Below are 24,146 nucleotides of genomic sequence, written 5' to 3'. Positions count from 1 at the left end.
GCAGATGGAATAAGAAAACCCATATAGTCACATCATGATGGAAATTCTCAAATATTTAGGATTAGAAAAGAACTTCCTTAACACAGTAAAGGTAATATTTTCTTTAAAAATCCTACAGCTAACAGCATACTATGGTAAAAGACTGAATGGTTTCTCTTTAAGATGGAAAATAAGACAAAGACAACTTCTCTTCACTCCTATGTCATACTGGAAGACCTAGCAATGGGACAAGAAAAGGAAAGAAAAGGCATACAGATTGGAAAGGAAGAAAGAAAATACTTCCTGAATATTTTATAAAGTGCCAGGCACAATGGCTCATGCCTGTAATCCCAACACTTTGGGAGGCCGAGGCGGGCAGATCACGTGAGGTCAGGAGTTTGAGACCAGCCTGGCCAACATGGTGAAACCCCATCTCTAATAAAAATACAAAAATTAGCCAGGTGTAGTGGCAGGCACCTATAATCCCAGCTACTCGGGAAGCTGAGGCACAAGAATCCCTTGAACCTGGGAGTCAGAGGTTGCAGTGAGCCGAGATCGCGCTATTGCACTCCAGCCTTGGGCGACAAAGCGAGACTCTGTCACAAAAAAAAGAAAAAGAAAAAAAAAAAATGTGCTCTTAAGATTGTTGCCCTTTCTTGCAGTTTTAAATTTCCTATACTTTTGCATGGACTTGACACTTTATACGATGCTTTGAGACAAATGTGTCCTTAAATTTTGGATCTAGAAATGTGGTAATAAAGCTAGGTAATTGGTTTTCAAGACAGTAAGATCCCACCAAAATTTCTAGTGCATCTCAGTTTTCATTGCATGCACACAGATTTCAGCCTTTCCCTGGAGTAGAAGTATAAGAGGAATGTTTATAATAGCTCAAAGGTGCCAGATATGACATTGAGGTGGGCATTTGGCTATTGAGCCTTCCAAAGGCCAAGGTTAAATGGAACTGTATATCTGGAAAAACACTGAGACCAAAGTCAAACTTCTATGAACCCCTAGTATACGCCTGGCTATTCCCAAGTTCTCTAACCTATGAGAAACCCTTCCTTTAAACAACCAGTGGGCCAGACATGGTGGTTCATGCCTATAACCCCAGCACTTTGGGAGGCCAAGGTGGACGGATCATTTGAGGTCAGGAGTTCGAGACCAGCCTGACCAATATGGTGAAACCCCATCGCTACTAAAAATACAAAAAAATTTAGCTGGGCATGGTAGCGCATGCCTGTAGTCCTAGCTACTTGAGAAGCTGAGGCAGGAGAATTGCTTGAACCTGGGAGGCGGTTCAAGCTGAGTACTCCACTCAGCAGAGGTTGCAGTAAGCCACTGTACTCCAGCCTGGGCGACAGAGCAAGACTCTGTCTCAAAAACAAAACAAAACAAAACAAAACAAAACAAAACAAAACGGAACAAAACAAAACAAAAAAACAACTAGTGTAGGCCCAAGCCCCAGATCATTTATTTGATTAGCAGAAAATACAGAGTTTTAACAGAGTCTCTCCGAGGGGTCCCAGAGGGACACCAACATGTTCCAAAATATGTCTTTCATGTGTATTGTCACCTCAATAACAACCTCCCTTCAGGCCTTGCTCACTCTCTGCAGATGTTCTCTCACTACTTCACAGCAGAAGCTTTCCCATGCCTGGATCCTGCCTCCCTAATCCCCAGACCTCAGTGGACTCAAGACTGGAAGAGTTAATAAAATATCCCTGTAGGCAATATCCTCAGAAGGTAATTAAAAATAGAAAAAGAAAACAAACCACTTAAACAGGACACAAAGTATCATGGCTCCCAGATCCAGAGGCTGAGTCCCGCCTTGAGGGACCAATCCCTCTCAGATGGGCTCTCCTTAGCCCCACATCTACCTCTGACCTACTTGGTCTCCAAACAAGATGACAGTCTTTTGCCATTTCTCCTTGCCAGATTCAGATATTTTTAGTCCTGGACCCCAAAGAGACAGATCAAACCTGATCCTCAAAGCAATGCAACTCTCTATCAATGAACACATCCACCTGTATCATTTTGCAGCCTATGGTTAGCAAAACTTCATTCAGAATTTCTTCAGTTCAGAAGAGGTCTTGGTCTTTGTGTTAGATTATAGGAGTCTTTTTACGGTGTCTTCACATAATCAATGTGTCATCCGGGCATGGTGGCTCATGCTTGTAATCCCAGTACTTTGGGAGGCTGAGACAAGAGGATCCCTTGAGCCCAGAAGTTTGAGATCAGCCTGGGCAAGATGGTAAGATCCTGTTTCTACAAAAAAGTTAAAAACATTAGCTGGGCTTGACAACATGCTGACAGTAGCTGTGGTCCCAGCTATTCAGGAGGCTGAGATGGAAGGATCAGTTGAGCCTGGGAGATTGAGGCTGCAGTGAGCTGTGATCATGCCATTGCACTCCAGCCTGGGAGACAGAGTGAGACCCTGTCTCAAAAACAGCAACAACAACAACAAAAATCAATGTATCGTCTTTGCCCAAAGATAAAGTCTGCCTTATCTGCCTGTATGTAAAAATACTAATGTGTTTCCAATTCTCTGTATTGAGGTTTCGAAAACATTAGGTTCAATATGAGAACATCTTATTACAAATATATATCATGGCAGACACAGCTAGTGGCCTTCTCAGCATCTTTTCTCCTTTTCTTTCCTTCTCAATATCTGTTTAAGGTATTTGCAGTGAAACTCTTTAACTGATGTGTGTGTGTGTGTGTGTGTGTGTGTGAATGTAGCAAAACTGTGATCACATACATTTCTATTTTAGGAGAATGTGATGAAGTGGTTCTTTCAGCTATAAGGCTGCCTCTCCTAGGACACCAGGCACACAGAAAGGCCAGCTGTTCAGATAAGACCTCCTAATCAAAACAGACTCAGCCTTATCAGTGACATTCCCTGAGCCAGGCCCACAGCAGGGCAACAAATATTTGTTCAGTAAATGAATACATGAAAGAAATGTTTCCTGTTGTCAGTGTCCCTGTAATCTGGTGGAGGAGGTAATAATGTACATTTACAAGCTGTAGGATCAAATAAGTGCTACAGCCACGGGGATCCCATTTTCTGGCTCAGACCCTGCAATAAGAATTCTGATAAAGTATTTTTCTTCTGATTTTAAAATATATTTACATGAAAATATCCCAACTTACGCACATCCAACTGCTTTCTATAACCTCCCCCTCTTCCACCTTAATGTAAGCCACGTAATCTCATGCCTGTCTATCAAGGGCCTTTCCAAATCATTCACACTGTGTCCAATCCATTCTTACCCTCTGTAAATGGTTCAAGGGGTTTTGTATGTGGACACTGGGCAGGTGAAAATACTCTCCTCTGGAGTCTGAATCCTATAGGACGAGATAGCAGCCTTGGGTTGCTAATGGTCAGGTTCTCTACTTCTTGAAGAAAGCTGGTCGGTAGTAGAGAAGAATAAAATTAACAAAGCCCTAGAAAAATAACTTGAGTCACTGGATGCAGCTGTGCCAGAGGCTTGCCCCTATTCTTTCTGGATACCTAAGTCAGCTTCTCTTTTGTGTTTAAATTTCTTTGGAGTTAGTTATCTGTCACTTGCAAGAAGAAGTATTCTGACAAATGCAATTCTCTAAGTCTTAGTTTGCTCTTCTGCAAAATAGGCTACCTCCTAGTTCTGTTGTGAGGATCAAGTGAACTAATATTTGTATCAGAGCTTTGTAAATATAAAGTAAAAATATTCTTTGTCACATACCCACCAAAAGCACTGATTGGATAGGATGCATTTGGATGCAAGTAATAAAGCATGCAACTAAAATTAGTTTGAGCCACAGCTACTCAAAGTTTGAGGCCTGGACCAGCACCAGCGTCGTGGGTCACGAATAACAGATGTTTCAAGGTGTTTCAGGTGAGTTTTTTTGTTGGCTCAGAAAGGTCTAGGAAGGGGATTGGGTGGGCAGGGGTTCACTCCTCTCAGAGGCCGCAGGAAACATCACATGTTTCACAGGTCTACCTGGTGTGGGAGCTCCAAATCTTCTCCATTGTCAAGGCCATACCCATAACACCAACAGGGTTTCCTTATCGATTTGGCACAGAATAGTAATTCTACATATGCCAGTTATCTCATCACCTAGTGGATACCTGACATCTCAAGGGATAGCTTCCGAAGTATCTGTAATTCCTAAATTCATGAATACCACTACAGCATGTACATTTCCTCTAAAATGCACCAAGTATATTTCACATCAGTGACAACAAGCATGCTAAGGAATAAGCACCTAAGTCGAGATGTGGGCGCTGGGCAGGCAGCTCAGCACATTCACTTGTCAATGACTCTGTACAATAGCCCCATGGAGTTATTGTGGAACAATCGCTGACATAAAATGTTTTGAGATAACACTTTAGCTGTCTCACAAAAATTGTGCATGCTGGAAGAAGTGTGGGCTTTTTATCCAGCAGCCAGAAGGCAAGTGACTGGTCCTCTCAGGTTGTAGGTTCTGTTTTATACATGAGTGAAACTCAGGATTCCACCCACCCTACACATGCACCTTTCCAGAAAGTTTCTTGTTTTGTGTTTTGAGATACATCTGGAGGCAGGTCCTGGTGCTTACAAGTAAATAAGCATGCAATGCATGTTTGACAAGCATCATAAGTATATACATTGAAATCAGATGGAATAATAGTAAACAGGGTAAAGTATATATCGGAAAAGAGATGTACATTTTGAAAACAGAGATAAACAATAAACAAGGGAAAAGTTTAGGCAAGCATCTGAAAAGGAAAGGAGTCAGTATTTGTGTACTGTTAAACTTTTAGGTTATATGACATAAAACTATTTTGATTGGGAGGCTGATTTCACCCATCATTGTTTGTCATTCAAATTCTTAGCTCAGGAAAATGGCAGGTTAATACATGGCTTGTTAAATTATAGATACCAGGGATCTACCTTATATCTAGTTTGAGGGGAGGAAGAGGCAGAAGAGGGGACCCAGGTGAGCACATCGAGTGTGCATCAAAGTCACCCCTTGACCCGTCTACAGTTAAGAAGCTCTCACACTGGGAAGCTGAGCCCTGTTGTCAGTCTCCCCATGGTTTCTGCTGTTATCTGCCGTTCCTCCTTCATATTCTTCTTTTTAGTTGAGAAGGTTTTTGCTTTGGAACTAAACATCCTGTCTCATCCTCACAGTCTGTATATATCTTCTTCTTCCTACCACAGATTATTAATCCTACAGACCATCCCATGACTGGTAGATCTTAGCAGCCTTTGTCAGGACTGTGGGCTTTGGAGTCGGCCTGCCTGATCTTGACCCCTGGCCCGCTACTAACCAACCAGGTGTGACTTTGGGCAGTGCATTTAAGCTCTGTGAACCCCAGTGGGTCTCTGTGAGATGGGGATCATGACAGCATATACCTCATGAGTGTGGGGGAGGATGAAATGCTATTTTGCTTATAAAGGGCTCAGCTTATTGAGCAGAATGGTACTCAGTAAATGTTTACCTTGGACAAAGGTGAAGATGATGATGCTAGAGAATGCAGAACAAACAGTACTAAGGTCTATCCTGACACCTGTTTCCACTACCTCTCAAAACCATGATCTCAGGCAGATGCAATGGCAACTTAACAGTTTCAGCTGATGGGGGTAACAGGGCGTGCAGCCCACCAGCAATGCCAGCTGAGTCCCAGAAGATCATAGATGACAACAGGAAGCTGGTCTCATACAGGATTTACCTGTGGACCTGCTGGGAGCTCAGAAAGCAGATGGCCTGCCCAATATCATGCCAAGTGGATGCTGTGAAATTTCACTGAGGAGAGGGAATTTTGCCTCCAGACTCAACTCCCACTTGACAAGTTACAGGCCAAGCTGGCGGTGCCACCAGGGTGGGCTTAGTCAGTGAACGTTCTCATGTCCCTGGGGATGCCGGGACCCAGGCAGCTATATGGGCCTCTAGTCCTGGGGTTCCCAGGGACTGGGAAGCAGCTGCCTACCAGGAAGTGCCCTCATCTCCAAAAGCTCTTTAGAAAGATGAAGAACTGCAAGAACCAGCCTGCTCTGGAGGGATTTGAGCAATAGCATGGACCCTGGGTCCCTGGGGCTCTCCAAGTTGAATTATTTATGATGCTATGTTGGTCTCCGTGTTTTTAATTAGCATCCTGGGAAAATGCTGCAGTCTCGTGGCCCTCCTGTGGAATCTCGGGGAATGCCCTACAGGCTGATCACATTGTTTTGGTTACAGGACCAAATACCAACCACCCTGAGCTCTTGGCATCTCTGGATGAGAAGCCAGACCTGAGATAGACAGTGTCTTCCTTGCTCAACAAGGCCTCGAGGCTTTTTTCCTGTATTTCTGAGGGCCTAACCCTTCTCCCAGGGCAGAGTTGAGAGGCTTATATGAGAGGTTTCTGGAAGGGCAGGCTCAGTATCTGACACTGACAGTGTCTCTTGGCCTGGGATCGCCTGAGGGCCCTGTGAAGCTTCAGAGCAGTGCCTGAAACACTCTGAGGACAGAAACTCAGGGACCAACACACCTGTTTCCACAGAGCTGGCCCCTGCCTCTGCTTCCTGGAAGCACTGCAAGAGTGCCTGCAGTTATAGCCGGGAGATGACCACAGTGAGAAGCCAGAGAAGAGGTAAACAGCAACCTTGGGCAAGCAGGAAGGCAGAAGCAGATGCTTGGAACCACCCAGAGGTGAGAGGCCCTGGCCGGGTGACTCTTAGTCACAGACAAGGGGCATTGTCACACAGGAAAAGGCAGTGGGGCGGGATGGAGGAACATACAAAGCCTGCCATGTCAATCAGCTCTGCCCTGAAACAGCTGAGTGACTTGGGACACTCTCAACCTCTCAGTGCCTCAATTTCCCTCTCTGGTAAATGGGCCAACAATAATGACCTAGCACATAGAGGTACTCAGAAAAGAATTTTTGCTTTCTTTTGTCATTTGGCAAGTTACTTCACACCTTCCTGACTCCTCAATTTCTTCCTCTGGAGATATAACAAGCCTCGTGTCATTGAGTTGCACAGAAAAACATGATAACTGATGTGTGCTGCACTGCTCTGTGGCTCACACCATTTTCACCCATTCTATCCTCCCAATAAACCCATGAAGTGGGTACAATTCACATCGTCATTTTACAGGTGAGGGAATGAGATACAGAGAGTTTAAGAAACCAGTCCAGGGCACACAGCAGCCTATTTGCCCATCCACCTTTGCGCAAGGGGGAAAATGGAAGGTGTGTCTCTGAGGTATTAGCATAGTTAATATGCTCTATCTATCTTTCTATAAATAAGGTAATAACAGAGTGAAATTTGTCATTTTAAGTTTCATCTTTGGACTTTTCTCCATTTCCAGGTTTTCTACCACAGAATGTGTAACTTTGATTTTCACACACAAAATGGTCTCAACAGTGGTTGAAATATACAAAAACAGAAACCCCAATCCAGCCCTTAGCCTGATGCTCTGCATGCTGTTAAGAAGGGGGTGTTGAATGATTCCATTTATTTGAAATACCCAGGAGAGGTAAATCCATAGAGGCAGAAGGCGGACTGGTGATTGTCAAGGGATTGGCGGGGGAATGGGAAGCAACTGCTTGAGGGGAACAGGTTTCCTTTTGGGAGGATGAAAAGTTTGCAACTAGATACTGGTGGTGGTTGCACGACACTGTGAAAATGCCAAATGCCGCTGAATTGTTCACTTCTAAATGGTTAATTTTTTGTTATGTGAATTTCACCTCAATGTAAAAAAAATAAAAATAAAAAGAGAGGGGGGTGGGGTCATGCAGGTAGCTAATTCCTATTCAGTGACTTGATGCACTGGAAGTAACTTTCCTTTTCATCCTCCTCCAGGGAGAAGGTTCATTTGAGAACTTCCCCTGCTGAAGCTTTCCCTGACCCTCTGGGAGGGGCCGGACCCTCCGTCTGTGGTCCCACAACCCCTGAGGAGGAGGAGGCACTCATCAGGTCCCTTGGCGCCTTGCAGCCCTTTTCTTGGGCCTGCCTTTTACCTCCATCCTCCACTCCACTGATGGCTCAGAGCCCAGAATCCTGTCTTCATCCTGGCAACAGTCCCTTCAGGGCCCAGCAGGATGGGGGAATGAATAAATGTGCCTGTTTCTGAACATAATCATTAAATTCTTTACCTGTAATGTGGACATTAAAGGTGAATCATTTCCCCCCTTAAACCCCCTCCATCTTTCAAACCTGCTACCCCCGACCCTCACTGAGCAAAAAATTGGAAAGCTGCTCTCACGGCATTATTGAAATTGAAATAGGGAATAGAACCTGGATGTCCGGAGCAATCTTCTGACCTGGAATTTTCTCCTCGCTTTGCTGCCTCTTGGGAAAAGCCTGTTCCGCACAAGCTGGCAAGGTACTGTGGTCGCATCAGACCTGCCTTGTAGCCTCAGGGCATGTGGGTCTTGGGGCATCTGACATAGGAGCACCCTGATTCCGTTTCAACACTTTTGAGAAACCAAATTGGTAAGGCAGCCTTAAGGACACTCAGAGGAGACACCTCCAGATGGTGTAGAAAGGCTGGTTCATGATTACATCCTTCCACGCCTTCCTCAGTGCAAACAGCAAGTGCTCAGTAATGGTTACTAGATGAATTCTATGGAGAGACAACAGAAGGTTGTGTTTGCCTCTCAGCTCTGCCAGTAACTAGCTGGGGGACTTTGGGTGAGTTTTTCTGCTTCCTTGAGCTTGGGTTTCCTTGTCTGTGAAAGGGGGAAATAAAAGCCCAGCCTCTGGCTCCCAGAGGTGTGAGAGGCTGAGGTGGGTGAAGGGCTCCTCGGGTTGAAAGAGCTGGTGCCTCACAACCAAGGCTTTCCTCAGCTTTGCAGTGTAAACAAGGAAACACACTGCTGGGCCTTTCATCCTCTTGGCTGCCAGGAATGGGATCCTGGCACCCCCTCAGAGAGGCAGGTGCTCTGTCCCATGTAAGCACCAGGGAGATAATTGGCAGCATTGTTACCTAACCACAGAAGAGTGGAGAATAATCCTAATTACAGAGCCTTCTCTGTTTACAGCGCGAGAGTGCAGCCTGTGCCAGGTGTGGGAAAACCCCAGGGACCCCAAACCTCTCACTGCCTCGAGAGGAGCAGCTCAGTGCAGTGGAAAATTTCATGGAAGCCAAAATCCCTGCCTCTTACTGGATATGAGGGCCTTTGAGGGGAACATCCAACCTCTCTGAGCCTCAGTGTCCTCATCCGCAAAACAGATAATAACTCCTCTCTCACAGAGTGTGGATTCGTTTTTGAGGGCTGCTGTAACAAAGTACCACAGACCAAGTAGCTTAAACAAGGTATGTATTGTCCCAGAAGTCTGAGATCAAGATGTTGCAGGGTTGGTTCTGAGAGAGAAGGCAGTTAGAGGCTGGTTAGCCAGATAGAGAGGGCAGGTCTCAGGAGTGGAAAAATACCCGTGGGACAGCGCCTGCGCTACCCCTGTTGCTGGTGGAAAGAAATGTGGTTAAGAATTTCCTCTAATGCCAGGATGTTGCTCAGAAGGGACTGTGCCAACCTAGGTGCAGGCGCAATGAATTAACCTAAAAGTCCTTAACTTAACCCAGCTCATTATAATGTCATTGACATGCCATTAGCATTGTGTTTTAGCCCTCCCCCTCCCTTCTCCCCGATGTATGTTTCACTTAGGCACTCATGAGTGATAACCAAGATGAAGTCACTATGGCCAACCCCTCATAGAATGTATGGTGGGATAACCTGCAATAGGGTAGGGAGCCACCCAGCAAAAATCCTTCATGAGTTGCTTCTACCACCCAGGAAAGATGAGGACAATAAAAATGTTCTCATCTTGGCCTGCACAGATGCAACATCCCCAAGGGGGAACTTTACCCCTCCCACGTGGGCAGAACCCACAGAAGACTTCCTTGTCTTTGCCACATAAAGACCCGGAACTCATCCCCATTTTTGTTAACTCTCCTTGGATTGTCTCTCATTGCTGAGATATTTTCTGTTGCTTAATAAAACTCTGTTCCGCTCTACTCACTCTCTGGTGGCCACGTGCCTTACTCTTCTTGGTTGCATGTCAAGAACTTGGACCTAGCTGAACTAAGGAGTGATTAGATTGCAACAGTTCCTTCTGAGGGCTCTGAGGGAGGATGTGTCCCAGGCCTCTCTCCTTGGCTTGTAGGTGGCCTTCTCCCTGTGTCTCTTCACATTGTCTTCCTTCTTTGCATGTCTGTCTCTGTGTCCAAATTTTCCCTTTTTAAAAAGGCACTAGCCATAATGGATTAGGGTTCACCATAATGAGTTCATTTTAACTAAACAAATTACCTCTATAAACACCCTGTCTCCAAATAAGGTCACATTCTCTGGTACTGGGGATTGGGACTTCAATGTATGAGTGTTTTGGGGCACACCAGTTAGCCCGTAACAGGGTAGCTGCAATGATGACAGGAAATCAGGGATGGGTAAGCATTCATAAATGTCACTCTCCTAGAGGAAAGGGAGGCTTCCTTTCGGGGACATTTTTTGTCCTCATCTTGCCTGGGTTATAGAAGCAACTCACATAGGATTTTTGCTGGGTGACTCCCTACCCTACTGCAGATGATTCCACTGTACACTCTGGGAGGGACATGTGCTGTAAACTCAGCATAAAATGTCATAGTGGTCCCAACTCAGCATAAAATGTCATAGGGCACCCCGGCTGGGTGAATTCTTCCAGACCCTGTTTTCTCTTCCTCATGCTTCAGACCTCTTCATTTCACAAGCAGTCTGTTGAAGTAACCAAACTCCCAGGCCCAGAGTCAGCCAATCTGCATTTCAACCCCCCACCTCCATTCCTCAGCAATGGCCCTTCATCTTGGAAATCAGAATTAATCACAGCCTCTATGCCTGAATTAAAGTTTGCTCTTGTATCTTCTTTACCAAGTTTACATATACTCAATATTGGTGTATACAACTATGTAATGCAGTATGACCTCTCTCTGTCTCTGTTCTCCTGGCAACTCATTCAGGCTCCATTCCCTTCATATCCCACTTGAATTTGCACTACTCTGCACCACTGACTTTAGAATCTGTCTTGTAAATAGGGTCAGAGTTCCTCAGCCAGATCCCGATGGGTAAAAGGAACCATGTCCCCACCCTGAGTTGAGCAGGTCTTCAAGAAACCCTCTTGTGAGTCCACTCTGCCCCAAAGCTGCCTCCCAAAGATGCAGCATCTGTCCTGGCAGAGTGTGGGCAGGAAGGCTGCCTTGCCAGGCTCCTGACTCCCAGTGCTGCGTGGTGCTGATGAGCTGAGCTGATCTTTGAGGGGCCAGACCAGGTGAAAGTTCCCACCCTAAGCAGCTCAGGGCAGGGACAGACCAAATCCAAGTGCACCAAATGGGGCCATGAGAAACCCTCCTGTGGGGATATCTGTGATCTCAGGAATGACCCTGAGAGGACACTGCTCTGATGCTCTGATGAGACTGAGGGGGATTCCAAGCTTCCAGGGTGCTGGGCAGTGTCTCCCCAGAGAGTGGCTGTTCCCAGTGTCAATCAGGCAGGAAGGGTAGAATGCTGGGACAGGAAGTAGCTTGGAGGTGGGCCTTAGGCTGGTAGAAGTTGCTGCTTTCTTCTCTGTGGGCTCCTTTCTCGTGGATCTGGACCCCAGGAGTTCCCAGGCATAGAGAGGAGGGGTGCCAGGTGATGGGGGTGATGGAGGCGGTGGCCACGGCCCTGGAGAAGGCTGAGCCAGGCAGGGGACAGCTATGGGCAGCCTTGAGGTTCTGAGAGCAGCCGTGGGCAGCAGTGGGCAGTTGTCAGTTACTCTGTTTATGTTTAGGTCTTCTGTAAAATCTTGCTAAACAATCGGGTTTGATCTCATTTGGGTTGGGGCAAATTGAGGGAAGAGTCTGTGTTCAGGTATAGATCAGAGTTTAAAGAACAGGCAAGCCTCACCATGCCAGGGATACGATGACACTAGTGAGGTCCCCGAGGGAAAGGCCCTCCCATGGTGGAGAATCTCCCTGGCTGCTGCCAACCTTGGAGAATCGAGGGGAGCATTTGATCAGGATGCCAGTGAGGGAGGCAGAGCCACCCCAGTGACTGAAGCCCTTCTCAGTGGGTTTTCTGCCCAAAGACTGGTCAAGGATTGTGTGCCGAGGGTCAGGGGTGTTTGTAAGGACAGAGGGAGCCAGCAGGGAGCCAAGAGAATCTGTCCCAGAAAGCCTAGGTTTAAACTCCAGACTCCAAGAGTCAGAGCAGGAGCAGAGAGTGGGTTACAGAACTTGGGGTTGGGAAACCTTATCAGTGTTCTTCCATATCTCTTTGGTCTCATTTCCTAGCCCTGCGTTGGACCCATCCAGGCATCTTTGCTGTTGCCTGAGCACATGAAGCCGGCCCCTTTTTCCCAGCCTTTGCACTGTACTTTGCCTGGAACGTGCTTCCCTTGGGTATTCACTTTACTCAAGTCCTCTCAAATATCTGAGAGAGAGGTCTCTGACCACCCCATGGAAAAGAACAACTCTTACCTATCCCTTACACATTCTCTTACTACACAACACTAATTTCCTACAATTATATTCTACAGTATGTTTATTTGTTTCTCTCTTTATTGTCTGTTTGCCACAGTGGAGTGTAAGCACCATGACAACAGGAACTGTGTCTTGACCACTGTTGACTTCCAAGCACCTCAAATAGGACCTGTCACATAGAAGTTTCAATCAATATTTGTTGAGTGAATGAAGACAACAGGTGTCAACTTAGCTTCTACTACAGTTCTAAGACTTTTGCGTCAAGAAGTGGGGACACTCCAGATGCAATGGTGAAAAGCCACGATTATTTCCACCTGGCCCTTTCTCCTATCTGTCCCGCTATCTTTCTGTTACTTGCTCATTTCTCCCAAGATCTGTCCCTTCAGAGGATTCTTTGACTCCACTCCATACATTTATTCTTCCTTGCTGTGCTCTTGCTGTTGCATCTTACTGTTCCCTCTTCATTCTCAGCTTTCCAAAATCTTACTCCTCTTTAAGGCCAGAACTTATTCATCCTTCAAGGGCTAACTGAAGGCTCTGTAACCTTGTTTGTAAAATCATACCAGGTGAAACTAATATTCCTTTTCCTTGGATCCCAGAACCTTTTCTTGATAGTTTGATTAAGGCATTTTTACAATCTGATGTAATTAAGACATAAAAAAGGACAAAGGCTCTATCCTCCCTGGAAGATAGGGAGGTTTTTTGGTTTGTTTGTTTGTTTTTGCTTTTGTTTTCTTTTTTTGAGACAGGGTCTCACTCTGTCACTCTGTCACCCAGGCTGGAGTAAAGTGGGGCATGATCACAGCTCACTGCAGTCTCAAATTATGAGCTCCAGCATCATCCCTACTCAGCCTCCTGAGTAGCTGGGACTACAGGCACAAGCCTGTCTAAGTTTTTTCTTATTTTTTTAACAGAGACAAGGTCTCCATATGTTGCCCAGGCTTGTCTTGAACTCCTGGCCTCAAACGAGCCTCCCGCCTCAGCCTCCCTGGGATTACAGGTGCAAGCCACAGCACCTGGCTAGGATTCTTACAGGCATGAATGAAGTGCTGGTATCTCTAGTAATTTGCACATAACAAATGCCCAATTAATGTTTGCTTAATTGAATAAAATTGACATTATTCTCTGAGAATTAGGTGGGGAAAATGAAATGAATTTGAATGTGTGCTGTATGCTATACACTGTGGTAATAATGCGATAATATACTTTATTTCCAAAAACCCTCCCAGCAATCTTACTGAAGTGTATTACCATCCCTGTTTTGCAGAGGATGGTCAGAGAAGTTATGTGAGCTGCCCAGGGTTACACGGCTACTGACAGGCAGAACCAGGGTTTGAAGTCAGATTTATATATTTAAAGACAAAATGGCTTATACTCATTAAAATTATTTTTATCCCTACAGATTCAAGATGGGATTCTAGTAGACAGCATAGCTACACATCAGGCATAGATTTGGAAGCCTGGTTTTAACATGCCAAAGGGTAAATAAAAGCCATGTGTCCTTTCTCCATGAGGATGAGAATACTTTTATATAGTCTTTTTGTGTGGAGAGAGTCTAAACTACACAGAGAACTACCCCAGGTGAATCAAAACAATTGACTACGGTGAGGTCACATAAATTAGTGATACCTAGTTAACTTTTTGTCTTGAGGCCAGAGCTAGTGTTGGCTCACTTGGGACTTGAGAAGGCAAGAGAGGTATTTATAGCAACAGTGACAGCTGACTGCAAGTATTCCTATGACGATTAAATTTATTCTAGGAAATCTTATAAATAGTGAGTTTAATAGCTGTCACTTTGAGTTCATCAGCTGAAGCAACAGTTTAGAATTCATATTTGAAAACCTCCATTGAAGCTAAAATGTAGAAAAATAGAGGGCTACCCTGGTGTGGTATCTCAGGGCAAATGTAGCTCACTGAATTTAGCTTGGTCCCTAAAGAAGTAAAACTTTACAATAGTTAAGTGAACCAAAATCTTTGCCATATCAAAACTAATCGTAAAAAGGCATCTTTCCAATGGATGCAGCTTGCCGTTTAATAGAATATATCAGAGCATGAAAATTGTCCTTTAAAGCATGTCCACTAACTCCTTCTTCAACTAAATGCCTCCAGAGAGAAAATGAATGCATTCTAAAACTTTCATGCTTTTTTTCCCCAGAAAAGCTGATTCCCAAAATATCTAACCTATAAACTTTGAACAATAGCAACCCTTTTAAAAACCCTAAAAAACTATATAAAGAAGGGCTGGATGGAGCTACATTTATATATTTACAGTTATTTGTTTTTCTTAAAGTTTTCCTCTTGATGATAATTAAATTTAAATGTTTTTTTCATAGAAAATCTGGAAAATACACAAAAATTAAATAGAGAAGAAAAAAGAAAAAGATTTTTGCCCCACTGCTCATAGAGGCAATCATGGTTAACGTGTTGATGTATTTTCTTTTCCCTAAGCTTGGTTTTCATAGTCCTTGGCTTTGCTGTTATTTATTTGCTCATCATTTGTTCTCAACAGTGCCAACGACCTCACAGACACAGGTTGTGGATAGCAGCAGACATGGAGGTGGAGGCTGGGCGGCCAGTGATGCTGTGAGTCAGGTGAGTCATTTCTCATCTCTAGGCCAGACGTTTTCACAGGTTGGTTCTCAGAATCTGAGAAAAGCAGCAGACCCTCTTTCCACAAATATCCACAATAGACCCACGCTTTGCATACAAGTTCAGGGCCCACATCCAAATCCCTTAGCGATCCAGGAGCCTCTCAGGTTAAACATCTTGAACTAGGTATCAGACTCCTTGACAGTTTGCAATGCTGCCTTCTCAAAGAAGCTTGCAAATGTCTCCATTTATTATTTGAGTCAATGTGAGTTGTACGTAAAGAAAGAATGAGGAGAAAGCCCTCTCAGATGGTCATCTGGGCCTTTCTACTACAAACAGCCTTGCTAACTCTGGGAATCTCAAGCCATGCTATAGGAAGTGGGGAGGAAAGTAGGCTTCTGTGCATGATCCCAAGTCCACACTGCCAGAGACATCCAGATGAGCACAGTCTATTTGTGCTGGGGTCAGTGGAGAAGAACCTGTTAGTCAAGGCTCAAGGAAGGCTTTGTTTTTTCTGTCCCTGCACAATGGTCCTGATTCATTACGTGCTCTGGCATGCAGTTGGTGTCACATGGGTGTGATGACCACCTCTAGGTTCTGATCACACAGGGTCCAGAGGAACCAGAGCAATGACTGGATCTGAGAGGCACCAGCTTCCCAACCATCCCAACGCACTGTACAGTAACTGCACACCCCCAGCCCTGCCACTCCCCCGTCCCCCCAACATCTCCTTCCCTAGGGACACAGCTAAGCTAACACAAGATAAATGCAAACAACAAGCTCAGTCAAGGACAGAGCCAGGTGCTGGCAGGCAGGGCAGAGGGTTTAGTGCAGTCAGCTGGGGACCCAGGGGTGACTGATGTCCTGCAAATAACTTCTAATTGTAAGTCTGGAAGGGAGGATGCAATAGAAAGAAATGAGGAAGCTTCTACTCACTGACCACGTACTGCAACTAGTGCTATGTGTATAGTAATTCTATTGTTCAAGCTTTTCAATAAACATTCAAGGTAGGTATTGTTCAGCCATTGACCCAACAATATTATTGGCTGGTGGCTCTGTGCCAGACCATGGGGAGAGCAGAAGCAAACTGACCCAAGTTCCTGCTGCCATGGAGCTTACCTTCTAATGGGCAAGCATTCAGGAAAGAATTGGGCAAATGCGTGTAAGTGATGACAGGTGTGAGTGCACCAAAGGAAAGCTGAGCTGCTCGGTCAGCGAGTGGCAGGCAGTCGAGAAAGGCCTGGGGAGTGAGGGAGCTGTGGAGGTGTCTGGGGCTTACCCCTCTGCCCCCAGGCATGGGGAGCAGTCAGTGCAAAGGTCTCGAGAGGCAGGCTGCCTGATGTTGAGGGAGGCCAGCGCGACTGGTGTCCAGTTAGAAAGGGGAAGGTGTGGGTGTTGGGGCTTAGGACAGATAGTTACAAGCCACACTGGGCACTTTGCACATTGTGCTGAGTAAGGAATGAGATAGTGTGTTAATCTGTATTGTGTTGCTCTAAAGAAATACCTGAGACTGGGTAATTTATAAAGGTTTATTTGGTTCATAGTTCTGCAGGCTGTACGGGAAGCACGGCACCAGTATCTGCTTCTGGTGAGGACTCAGGAGCTTAAAATCATGGTGGAAGCAGGGAGAGCAAGCATGTCACAAGGTGAGAGAGGAAGCAAGAGAGAAGTGGAGAGGTCCCAGACTCTTTCTAACAACCAGATCTCACATGAATTCCTTACTGCTGGGAGGGCAGCAAACTATGCATGAATGATCCATCCCATGACCCAAACACCTCCCAGTAGGCCCCACCTTCAACATTGGGAATCACATTTCAACATGAGATTTGGAGGGGACAAACATCCAAACTATATCAGATGGGAACCGTCAGGGCAGTTGAGCAAAGACGTGACAGGATTTGGCTTCCATTATGAAAGCATTGCTAGGGACACTGGGTGGAGAATTAGACCACAGAGGGGTCAGAAAGCAGGAGGAAAATCAGGAACTCCCCACCCCCCGCCATATTCAGATGATGATTCTCAGCTCACAAATGTGCCTCCAAAATCTGATGGCACCATGACCCTCTCCTGGATCCTCGGGTGACTTCGCTCTGCCTTTAAATGGAACATATACACGGGCAGCCACGAGATCCTGCACGTTCTGCACCAGCCTCCCTCTGCATTGCCTTGCTACCATGGATTTGCCTTCTGTTCTCTCTCTCTCTTACTTGGTGATTCCACCCGAGACCGTGTTTCTGGTACTTACCTGGCCCGTGTGCATTTCCCTGATGCCTGCGATGTTCTCCTCCACTTCTTTATCTGGCTAAGACCTGGTCACCTTAACCATCTTCAACCTTCTGTTTCTCAGGGAAGCCACTCCTGCCTCTCGCAGACCAGCCTGGGTAGGGCTTCGTACAGCCTAGGGTTCCCCCCCTACTTTGGTCATACTGCTCACTTTTGGGAGTACCTGCTCTTTTTGGTCTCTTTCTTTGGGCTCCAGTCACCAAGGCCAGGTCAACTTCTCTCTTGTTCACCCGTCAGCACTTAAGCCAAGTGCACAATCCCAAAAACCTGATGGCACCACGACCGTCCGGAATATCTGGACCCTTGACAAGGAATACTTTGTGAGGTGAACAGAATACTTGCCAACATCACACAGCTACTAAGCGGGCAGATCAAGGATCAAACTCCTGCTTCCAACTTCTTCCTGGCCCCTGGACCTTAACTCAAGGCTCAGTTTAGCCTCAGCTGGTGACAGCTGGTGAGTAAGACATTCAGTTTTTCTGGGTCTCGGTTTTCCCAACTATTAAATGACAGGGTTGGATGCTGAGTTCATTTCCAGGGCTCCAGGATCTGCAAAGGCTCCCCCAGTCCATCTGACCACAAGAATTACCCAGGCCTGGGGACACTTGTAAGAATACTCACCTGAACCTGCAGAATCACAGCTCCAGAAGATGAACCTGGGATTCTCATTCTGTTTATTTGTTTGTTTATTCAAGGGTCCCAGGTGAATCTTATCACCAAATAAGTTTTGGAAATACATTTCTAAGGGACTCCTTCCCAAAGGAGCTTCCCAGAACAGAAAGGTCAAAGAGGAGGCAAAAACATGATTGTAGTGGCTATTTCAGCACAGCAACAGTTCCTTCTCAAATGTCTCCTCTCTATTATAAAAAGAAACTTTGCATCTGAGCCTGATATTTATTTATGCGAATTATTTTGTGGGATGAATGGAAGTCTCCAGAACTTTCACGGAAAGTTCCGCTTCCTGGACAACTGTAAATAGCTCTGCCCTGACAAACTTTGACCAAGTGCAAATTAAGGAACACTCAAAAGGAGCACAAGCAGAGATGAGGACACTCTCAGAACTCCTGAAAGGAGAGGCAGAAGCTCAGAGAGGTTAATCAGCTTATCTGAAGTCACACATCTGGTAGGTGGTAGAGGTGGAACCAGACCCAGCCCTCTGCATCCCTGGCTGGTATTTTTCCTTCTGAAACACAAGAGTGCATCAGGGCAATGTTGCTTCTGCACAGAAAACTGTGGTGCCTACACTGGAGCAAAAGGTGCTCCAAGAACACCACATGAGTGATGACCCGCCCCAAGAGTAGTGCGTGGCAGGGAGTTGGCACCCTCAGATAGGGGTAACTGATCGACTAACCCCACCTTCTTATCACTATGATCTAGGAATAGGGCACTTTTCAGACTTTTTCATTCTCTGCCTTGTTGGGGTAAATTTATGGAATACATTAGACAATTTCCCACCAGTCAAGTGAAAATATGTTTGATGACTTAAAAAATAATCAATGGGCTGGGTGCAGTGGCTCATGCCTGTACTCCCAGCACTTTGGCAGGCCAAGGTGGGAAGATCACTTGAGGTCAGGAGTTCAAGACCAGCTTGGGCAACATAATAAACCCCCCCATCTTTACAAAATTTTAAAAAATTTGCTGGATGTGGTGGTGCATTCCTGTAGTCCCAGTTACTTGAGAGGCTGAGGAGGGAAGACCACTTGAGCCCAAGGGCTTGAGGCTGCAGTGAGCTATGATTATACCACTGCACACTGGCCTAGGTGACAGTGCAGGACCCTGTTTCTTAAAATAATAATAATAATAATCAGTGCTTGATCAATAATGATCCAGTGCTAGACCAAGGGAGACAGACTTATTCTCATTCTGCCATTTCCTTACCTCTAGAACCTCACCTTTCTCATCTGGCAAATGGGACGATGCCTCCATCATTGTGTGGTTCATGAGGGTTAGATGAAATACTACACAGTATATGACACAGAGTCAGTCAGTATTTCTTAAATGAAAGAACGGGCAAATGAATGAGAGGGAGGAAATCATTTGTTCTGCCCTGGATGTGAAATCTGTCCTGTTTCCTCCCAGCCTCACTGTCTCTATCAGCTGTGCAGTAACTGGAACTGGACCATTCTGAATGAAGAATCTGTGGTTGAGGGGAGAGTGTGAGTCTACACACACTATGTGATAAAGGTAGACATGAACATCAAATGTAGAAACCCCCATAGAATCCATTGTCTTCCACTCAATGGAAGTGAGCTCAGGCTCAGTTGAACCCAGAGGAGGAGGGAGAGCATGCTGGGCAGGTTTAAATCCTATACCTGTTCCTTTCCTCCCTCCCTCCCTCCCTCCCCTCCCTTCTTCCCTCCCTCCCCTCCCTTCTTCCCTCCCTCCCCTCCCTTCTTCCCTCCCTCCCCTCCCCTCCCTCCTCCCCTCCCTCCTCCCCTCTCCTCCACCCTCCCCTCCACCCTCCCCTCCCCTCCCTCCCTCCCTCCCTCCCTCCCTTCCTTCCTTCCTTCCTTCTTCCCCATTTTCCTGCTTGAAAGATGGGGAGGGAAGAAAGAGGAAATGTGCATACTCTGGGAAGAGGGTCAGTTTTGAGTCAGAGACCTGGGATTTAATCACTTGTTCCCCACTGACTGACACGGTGACAGTAGAAAAGACACCAGCCATCATGGGGCAGACACTCAATAAATACTTGTTGGAAATAATACATGTTAGTTGCTGGGCAAAGCTCTGTGTGTATTAACTCATTTGATCCTCACAGTGTTATGCTGTATTAGGTGCTAGCCATAATATACAGATGATGGCACGGAAATACAGAGAAGTCAGATAACTCATCAAGGGGACATAGACCGTAAATCACAGCCAATATACCTCCAGAACACACGCTTTTAACTCCTCTGATATAAAACACTCCATGCACACAACTTCCTGGAATCTCCTTTTTCTCATGTGCAGGTGGCTGGTAGGATGGGGCGATGCTTGAGCCTAAGTCATTTCCAGTGCTAGGATTGGGGCTAAGGAGAGAGAAAAGTTCCCCCAAATCTCTGAATACCTCAAAGGCTCATGTCTGACATAGGAAAACGAGGAATACCTCAAAGGCTCATGTCTGACACAGGAAAATGAGGAAGAGGCAGAGATTGCATACCCAGGGTGGACAGTGGGGAAAGCAGATGGGAGCAGAGACTCCAGAGAGTGACATGGAGGTGCAGCTTCTAAGAGGCCCCCAATCTACTGAGCACCAGCTCTGTCCTTTCCATAAAATCCTTACAATGACCATGTAAAATAGGTGCTGTTATTCCCACTTTGTCAATGATGAAATTGGAATTCTGAATGATGAAAAAACATGTCCAAGATCGCACAAGATACTGCGGACATAGGCTTCAACTTACGTCTGTTTGGCCCCAAAGTCCATGTTCTTCCTCCTATGCATACTCCACATTTTTGTCTAGAGCTGACCCTGAGTATAACATACTTGTCATGTCACGAAAACATCTAGGACATGCTGTTGCAGAGCAATGCCTTCTACAGTGCACAGTTACAGTCGTGTGCCACATAACAATATTTTAGTCAACAATGGACCACATATACACACCTTGGTCATCCCATAAGATTATAATACCATATTTTTACCGTACCTTTTCTATGTTTAGATACACAAATACTTACCCATGTGTTACAGTGGCCTACAGTATTCAGTACGGTGACATGCGGTCCAAGTTCGTAGTCTAGGAACAATAGCCTGTACCATATACATAGGTGTGTAGTAAGCTAGACCATCTACGTTTGAGTAAGTGCACTCTGTGATGTTTGCACAACAAAATAGCCTTCAATGCATTTCTCAGAACATATCCCCATCATTTAGCAACACATGACTGTACTTAAAATGTCTTTGAAACACCACCATCAAAGTCATTGCCAACATGGGCTGCTCTGAGTGGCATCTAGAAAGCTGGAGCAGAATGGAAGCTGACTCAAGAAGGAAGGTGGCTGGGAAGCTTAATATAAGCTCCTATAAACCTCTTAATGCTTTCAAGACATTAACACTGAGTGACACCCTGGGGTTTCCTGGCTTTAATTTAAGACTCAGGATGGATTGGCTAACGAAGCTGCTGAGCAGCATGACAGTGTCTATTAGCAAGGAATTTAATGGTCCTTTCATAAATTAAAATATTAAGCTCCCTACAAATCACAAACTTACTCCAATATAGTGCTGACCCTGGGGAAAAAAAATGAATCACAGACCACTGGACCATGAGAAGAATCTCAGAGATTCTGCCCTTGGATGAGGAAGCTGAGGCCTGGAAGTATTAGGTAGTTCCCCAAGTCTGTGTATCTCTGGTCAAGGGCCGAGTCAGGCCTAGAATCTCCAGCCCCTGACCCCAGTTAGCACCCAGCATTGGCCCATGGGTCAGGAACAAAAGAGATTTCCACTTCGATTAAAATCTGGACATGGGCAGATAGTTCTGAGCACTTTTTGAAATGATTTGTTTGGTTTATTTGTTTCCAGATTTTTTTATCCATCTCCCAAACTAGACAGTAAACTTTTCCCTCCACTATCTTGGTCTTGCTGTGTCCTGAACACTTGGCTTGATGCCTACACACATAGAAGGTGTTCAATAATATTTGTAGAAGAAAGGGAAGGAGGAAAGAGGGGCAGAAATATCTGTTAGCACCTACAATATACTTCACACTACAGTCACATTTCATTTTCTTTGTGTGTTAATGTATGTCTCACTTTTATTTCCCTCCTTTCCTTTCCCTTCCTTTCTTCCTTCCTCCCTCCCTCCCTCCCTCCTTCCTCCTTCCTCCTCCTTCCTCCTCCTTCCTCCTTCCTCCTCCTTCCTCCTTCCCCCTCCTTCCTCCTTCCCCCTCCTTCCTCCTTCCCCCTCCTTCCTCCTTCCTCCTCCTTCCTCCTTCCTCCTCCTTCCTCCTTCCTCCTTCTTCCTCCTTCCTCCTTCCTCCTCCTTCCTTCCTTCCTTCCTTGACAGAGTCTGGCTCTGTCACCCAGGCTGGAGTGCAGTGGTACAATCATGGCTCACTGCAGCCTTGACCTCCTGGGCTCAGGTGATCCTCTCACATCAGGCTTTTGAGTAACTGGGACTTGAGGAGTGCATCACTATGCCCAGCTAATTTTTGTATTTTTGGTAGAGTCAGGGTTTTGGCATGTTGCCCAGGCTGGTTTTGAACTCCTGAACTCAAGCAACCCGCCTTCTTCAGCCTCCCAAAGTGCTAGGATTACAGGCGTGAGCCATCAAGCCCAGCCTATACCTCACTTCTTTCTAAAATACAGCTATAGTCCCCATTTCCGATGAGGAAACTTAGGTGCAGAGAGGTAAAGTGATGGGTTTAAAGTGACTACTCAACTAACATGTAGCAGAGCCAGATTTGAATCCAGGTTTAGATGCTTATCCCATATTCTTTTCACTACACAACCTGCTTACTGAGAATAGGCACTCACCCATTCAATGCATATTTATTGTGCTCCAACTCTGTGCCAGGCACACTTCTAGGCTCCTGGGATATTTTAGTGAACAAAACAGATCAAGACGCCTGCCCTTGCAGAATTTACATTTCATGGGAATCTAAAATTTCAGTGATGTGGATCAGAGGAAAGGGGAACGGCCCAAAATGAAACACCCAAGAGATGGACCTTTCGGGGCCATCACGTTGGGCTGAGCTTCCTACCATGTCTGTCTCAGGCTTCATGGAAGCTTCCCTCTGGCAGACAACATTTAGGGCATTGGGGAAACACACAGTCTTCACCCGCGCTGGGCCTGGCTCTTGGAAACCTAGTGGGGAGAGCAACTTAAAGCTGACATGTCTCTGGAAGAAGTGGACATTTGGATATATTCAGATTGTCCCATTGTTTTTCTGAAAATCTTGCCCACCCCAGTGAGCCTCCAGCTATGCAAATGAACACTAGAGGTCTTCTGAGGTGGAAGCATTTGAGACCATGGCTCCAAGAAGCAAACATGCTCTGAACACTGTTGGGAAAGTCTAGCTCTCAGTTGGATGGAGACGAAAACTCGGGCATGGGTCCTGGAAGACAATGGGGGAGACGGGGCAGAGGCTTTGCCCCGCCACTCCCATGGGAGATGCGAATATTAGCATCCTTCTCATCTGAGGGGTAAGATCTTGAAGCTAATGAAACACTTCCTGGGACTCTTAGGAATTTCTAGGAACGTGCATAGCCATTTTGAAGTCCGAATTATAGCCCCGCTTGGGGGAGAAGGCCATTCTCCCAAGATCTATGCAGCAGTCCCTGGAGCTCCAAGTTTTGAGGGCTCTGGAAGAATCTGGAGATAGCGGTGGCAGGGAAGTTGGTGTCTCAGGATGGGCTCGGTCAGCAGGGGCAGTGGAAGGGCCTCATCAGGTGGCTTTGTTGGCCATGACCATCAGAGCTAGAGCCTAAGAACATGTCAGGCCCTGAGTGGTGGGGGACCCCCAGAAATGCTGCATAGGTGCTGTAAGAGGCACTTGATTTCCTGCTGAGGCAAGAGGAGGGCAGGGCATGGAGTCTTTCTAGCTGGGATGTAAGTGTAAAGGAGACCTTATTTTGTAGACCCAGGGTGTTGAGGCCAGTGGACAGTTGCTACATATAATAGTTGCACTTTGCTTGCCAGCAACTAGGGGGAAAGAAGCAGCACAAGAAGAGGTTAAACCTAATGGATTATTCCAAAATGCCAAGCCCATGAACCAGCCCTGAGTACCCACCTGGGTGACTCCTGTCAGGCTCCTCTCTCCCCACACCTTTCTCCTCCCCAACCCTCCTTCTGGGGTAATCTTCTTACAGCTAATGTCAATCATTTCTTCCTCTACAATCCTCAATGTCTCCCCATTGCCTTCAGATGGTCCCAATT

General features: G+C 46.0%; 2 long non-coding RNA genes across 4 annotated transcripts; both read left to right on the top strand.

Moving 5' to 3' along the window:
• The first annotated feature begins 6,238 nt into the window (after nucleotides 1-6,238).
• Nucleotides 6,239-8,122, top strand: LOC105374502 (uncharacterized). The gene is made up of 3 exons (XR_925430.3): nucleotides 6,239-6,633; nucleotides 7,294-7,461; nucleotides 7,788-8,122. It is a non-coding gene; the product is annotated as an uncharacterized LOC105374502 (long non-coding RNA).
• A 3,377-nt stretch (nucleotides 8,123-11,499) lies between these two features.
• On the top strand, nucleotides 11,500-18,528 carry LOC107986261 (uncharacterized). 3 transcript variants are annotated; one of them, XR_001741596.2, is made up of 5 exons: nucleotides 11,500-11,587; nucleotides 12,515-12,707; nucleotides 14,927-15,009; nucleotides 16,551-16,652; nucleotides 17,527-18,528. It is a non-coding gene; the product is annotated as an uncharacterized LOC107986261 (long non-coding RNA). The 3 variants fall into 3 exon arrangements; XR_001741597.2 differs by having other exon boundaries at nucleotides 16,551-17,746; nucleotides 17,828-18,528; XR_001741595.2 differs by having other exon boundaries at nucleotides 16,551-18,528.
• Nucleotides 18,529-24,146: the final 5,618 nt, after the last annotated feature.

This window comes from Homo sapiens, chromosome 4 (assembly GCF_000001405.40).
Source record: "Homo sapiens chromosome 4, GRCh38.p14 Primary Assembly".
In the NCBI taxonomy this organism is placed as follows: Eukaryota; Metazoa; Chordata; class Mammalia; order Primates; family Hominidae; genus Homo; species Homo sapiens.
Note: the sequence above shows the minus strand (reverse complement) of the source record. Positions and strands in the feature narration are given on the sequence as shown.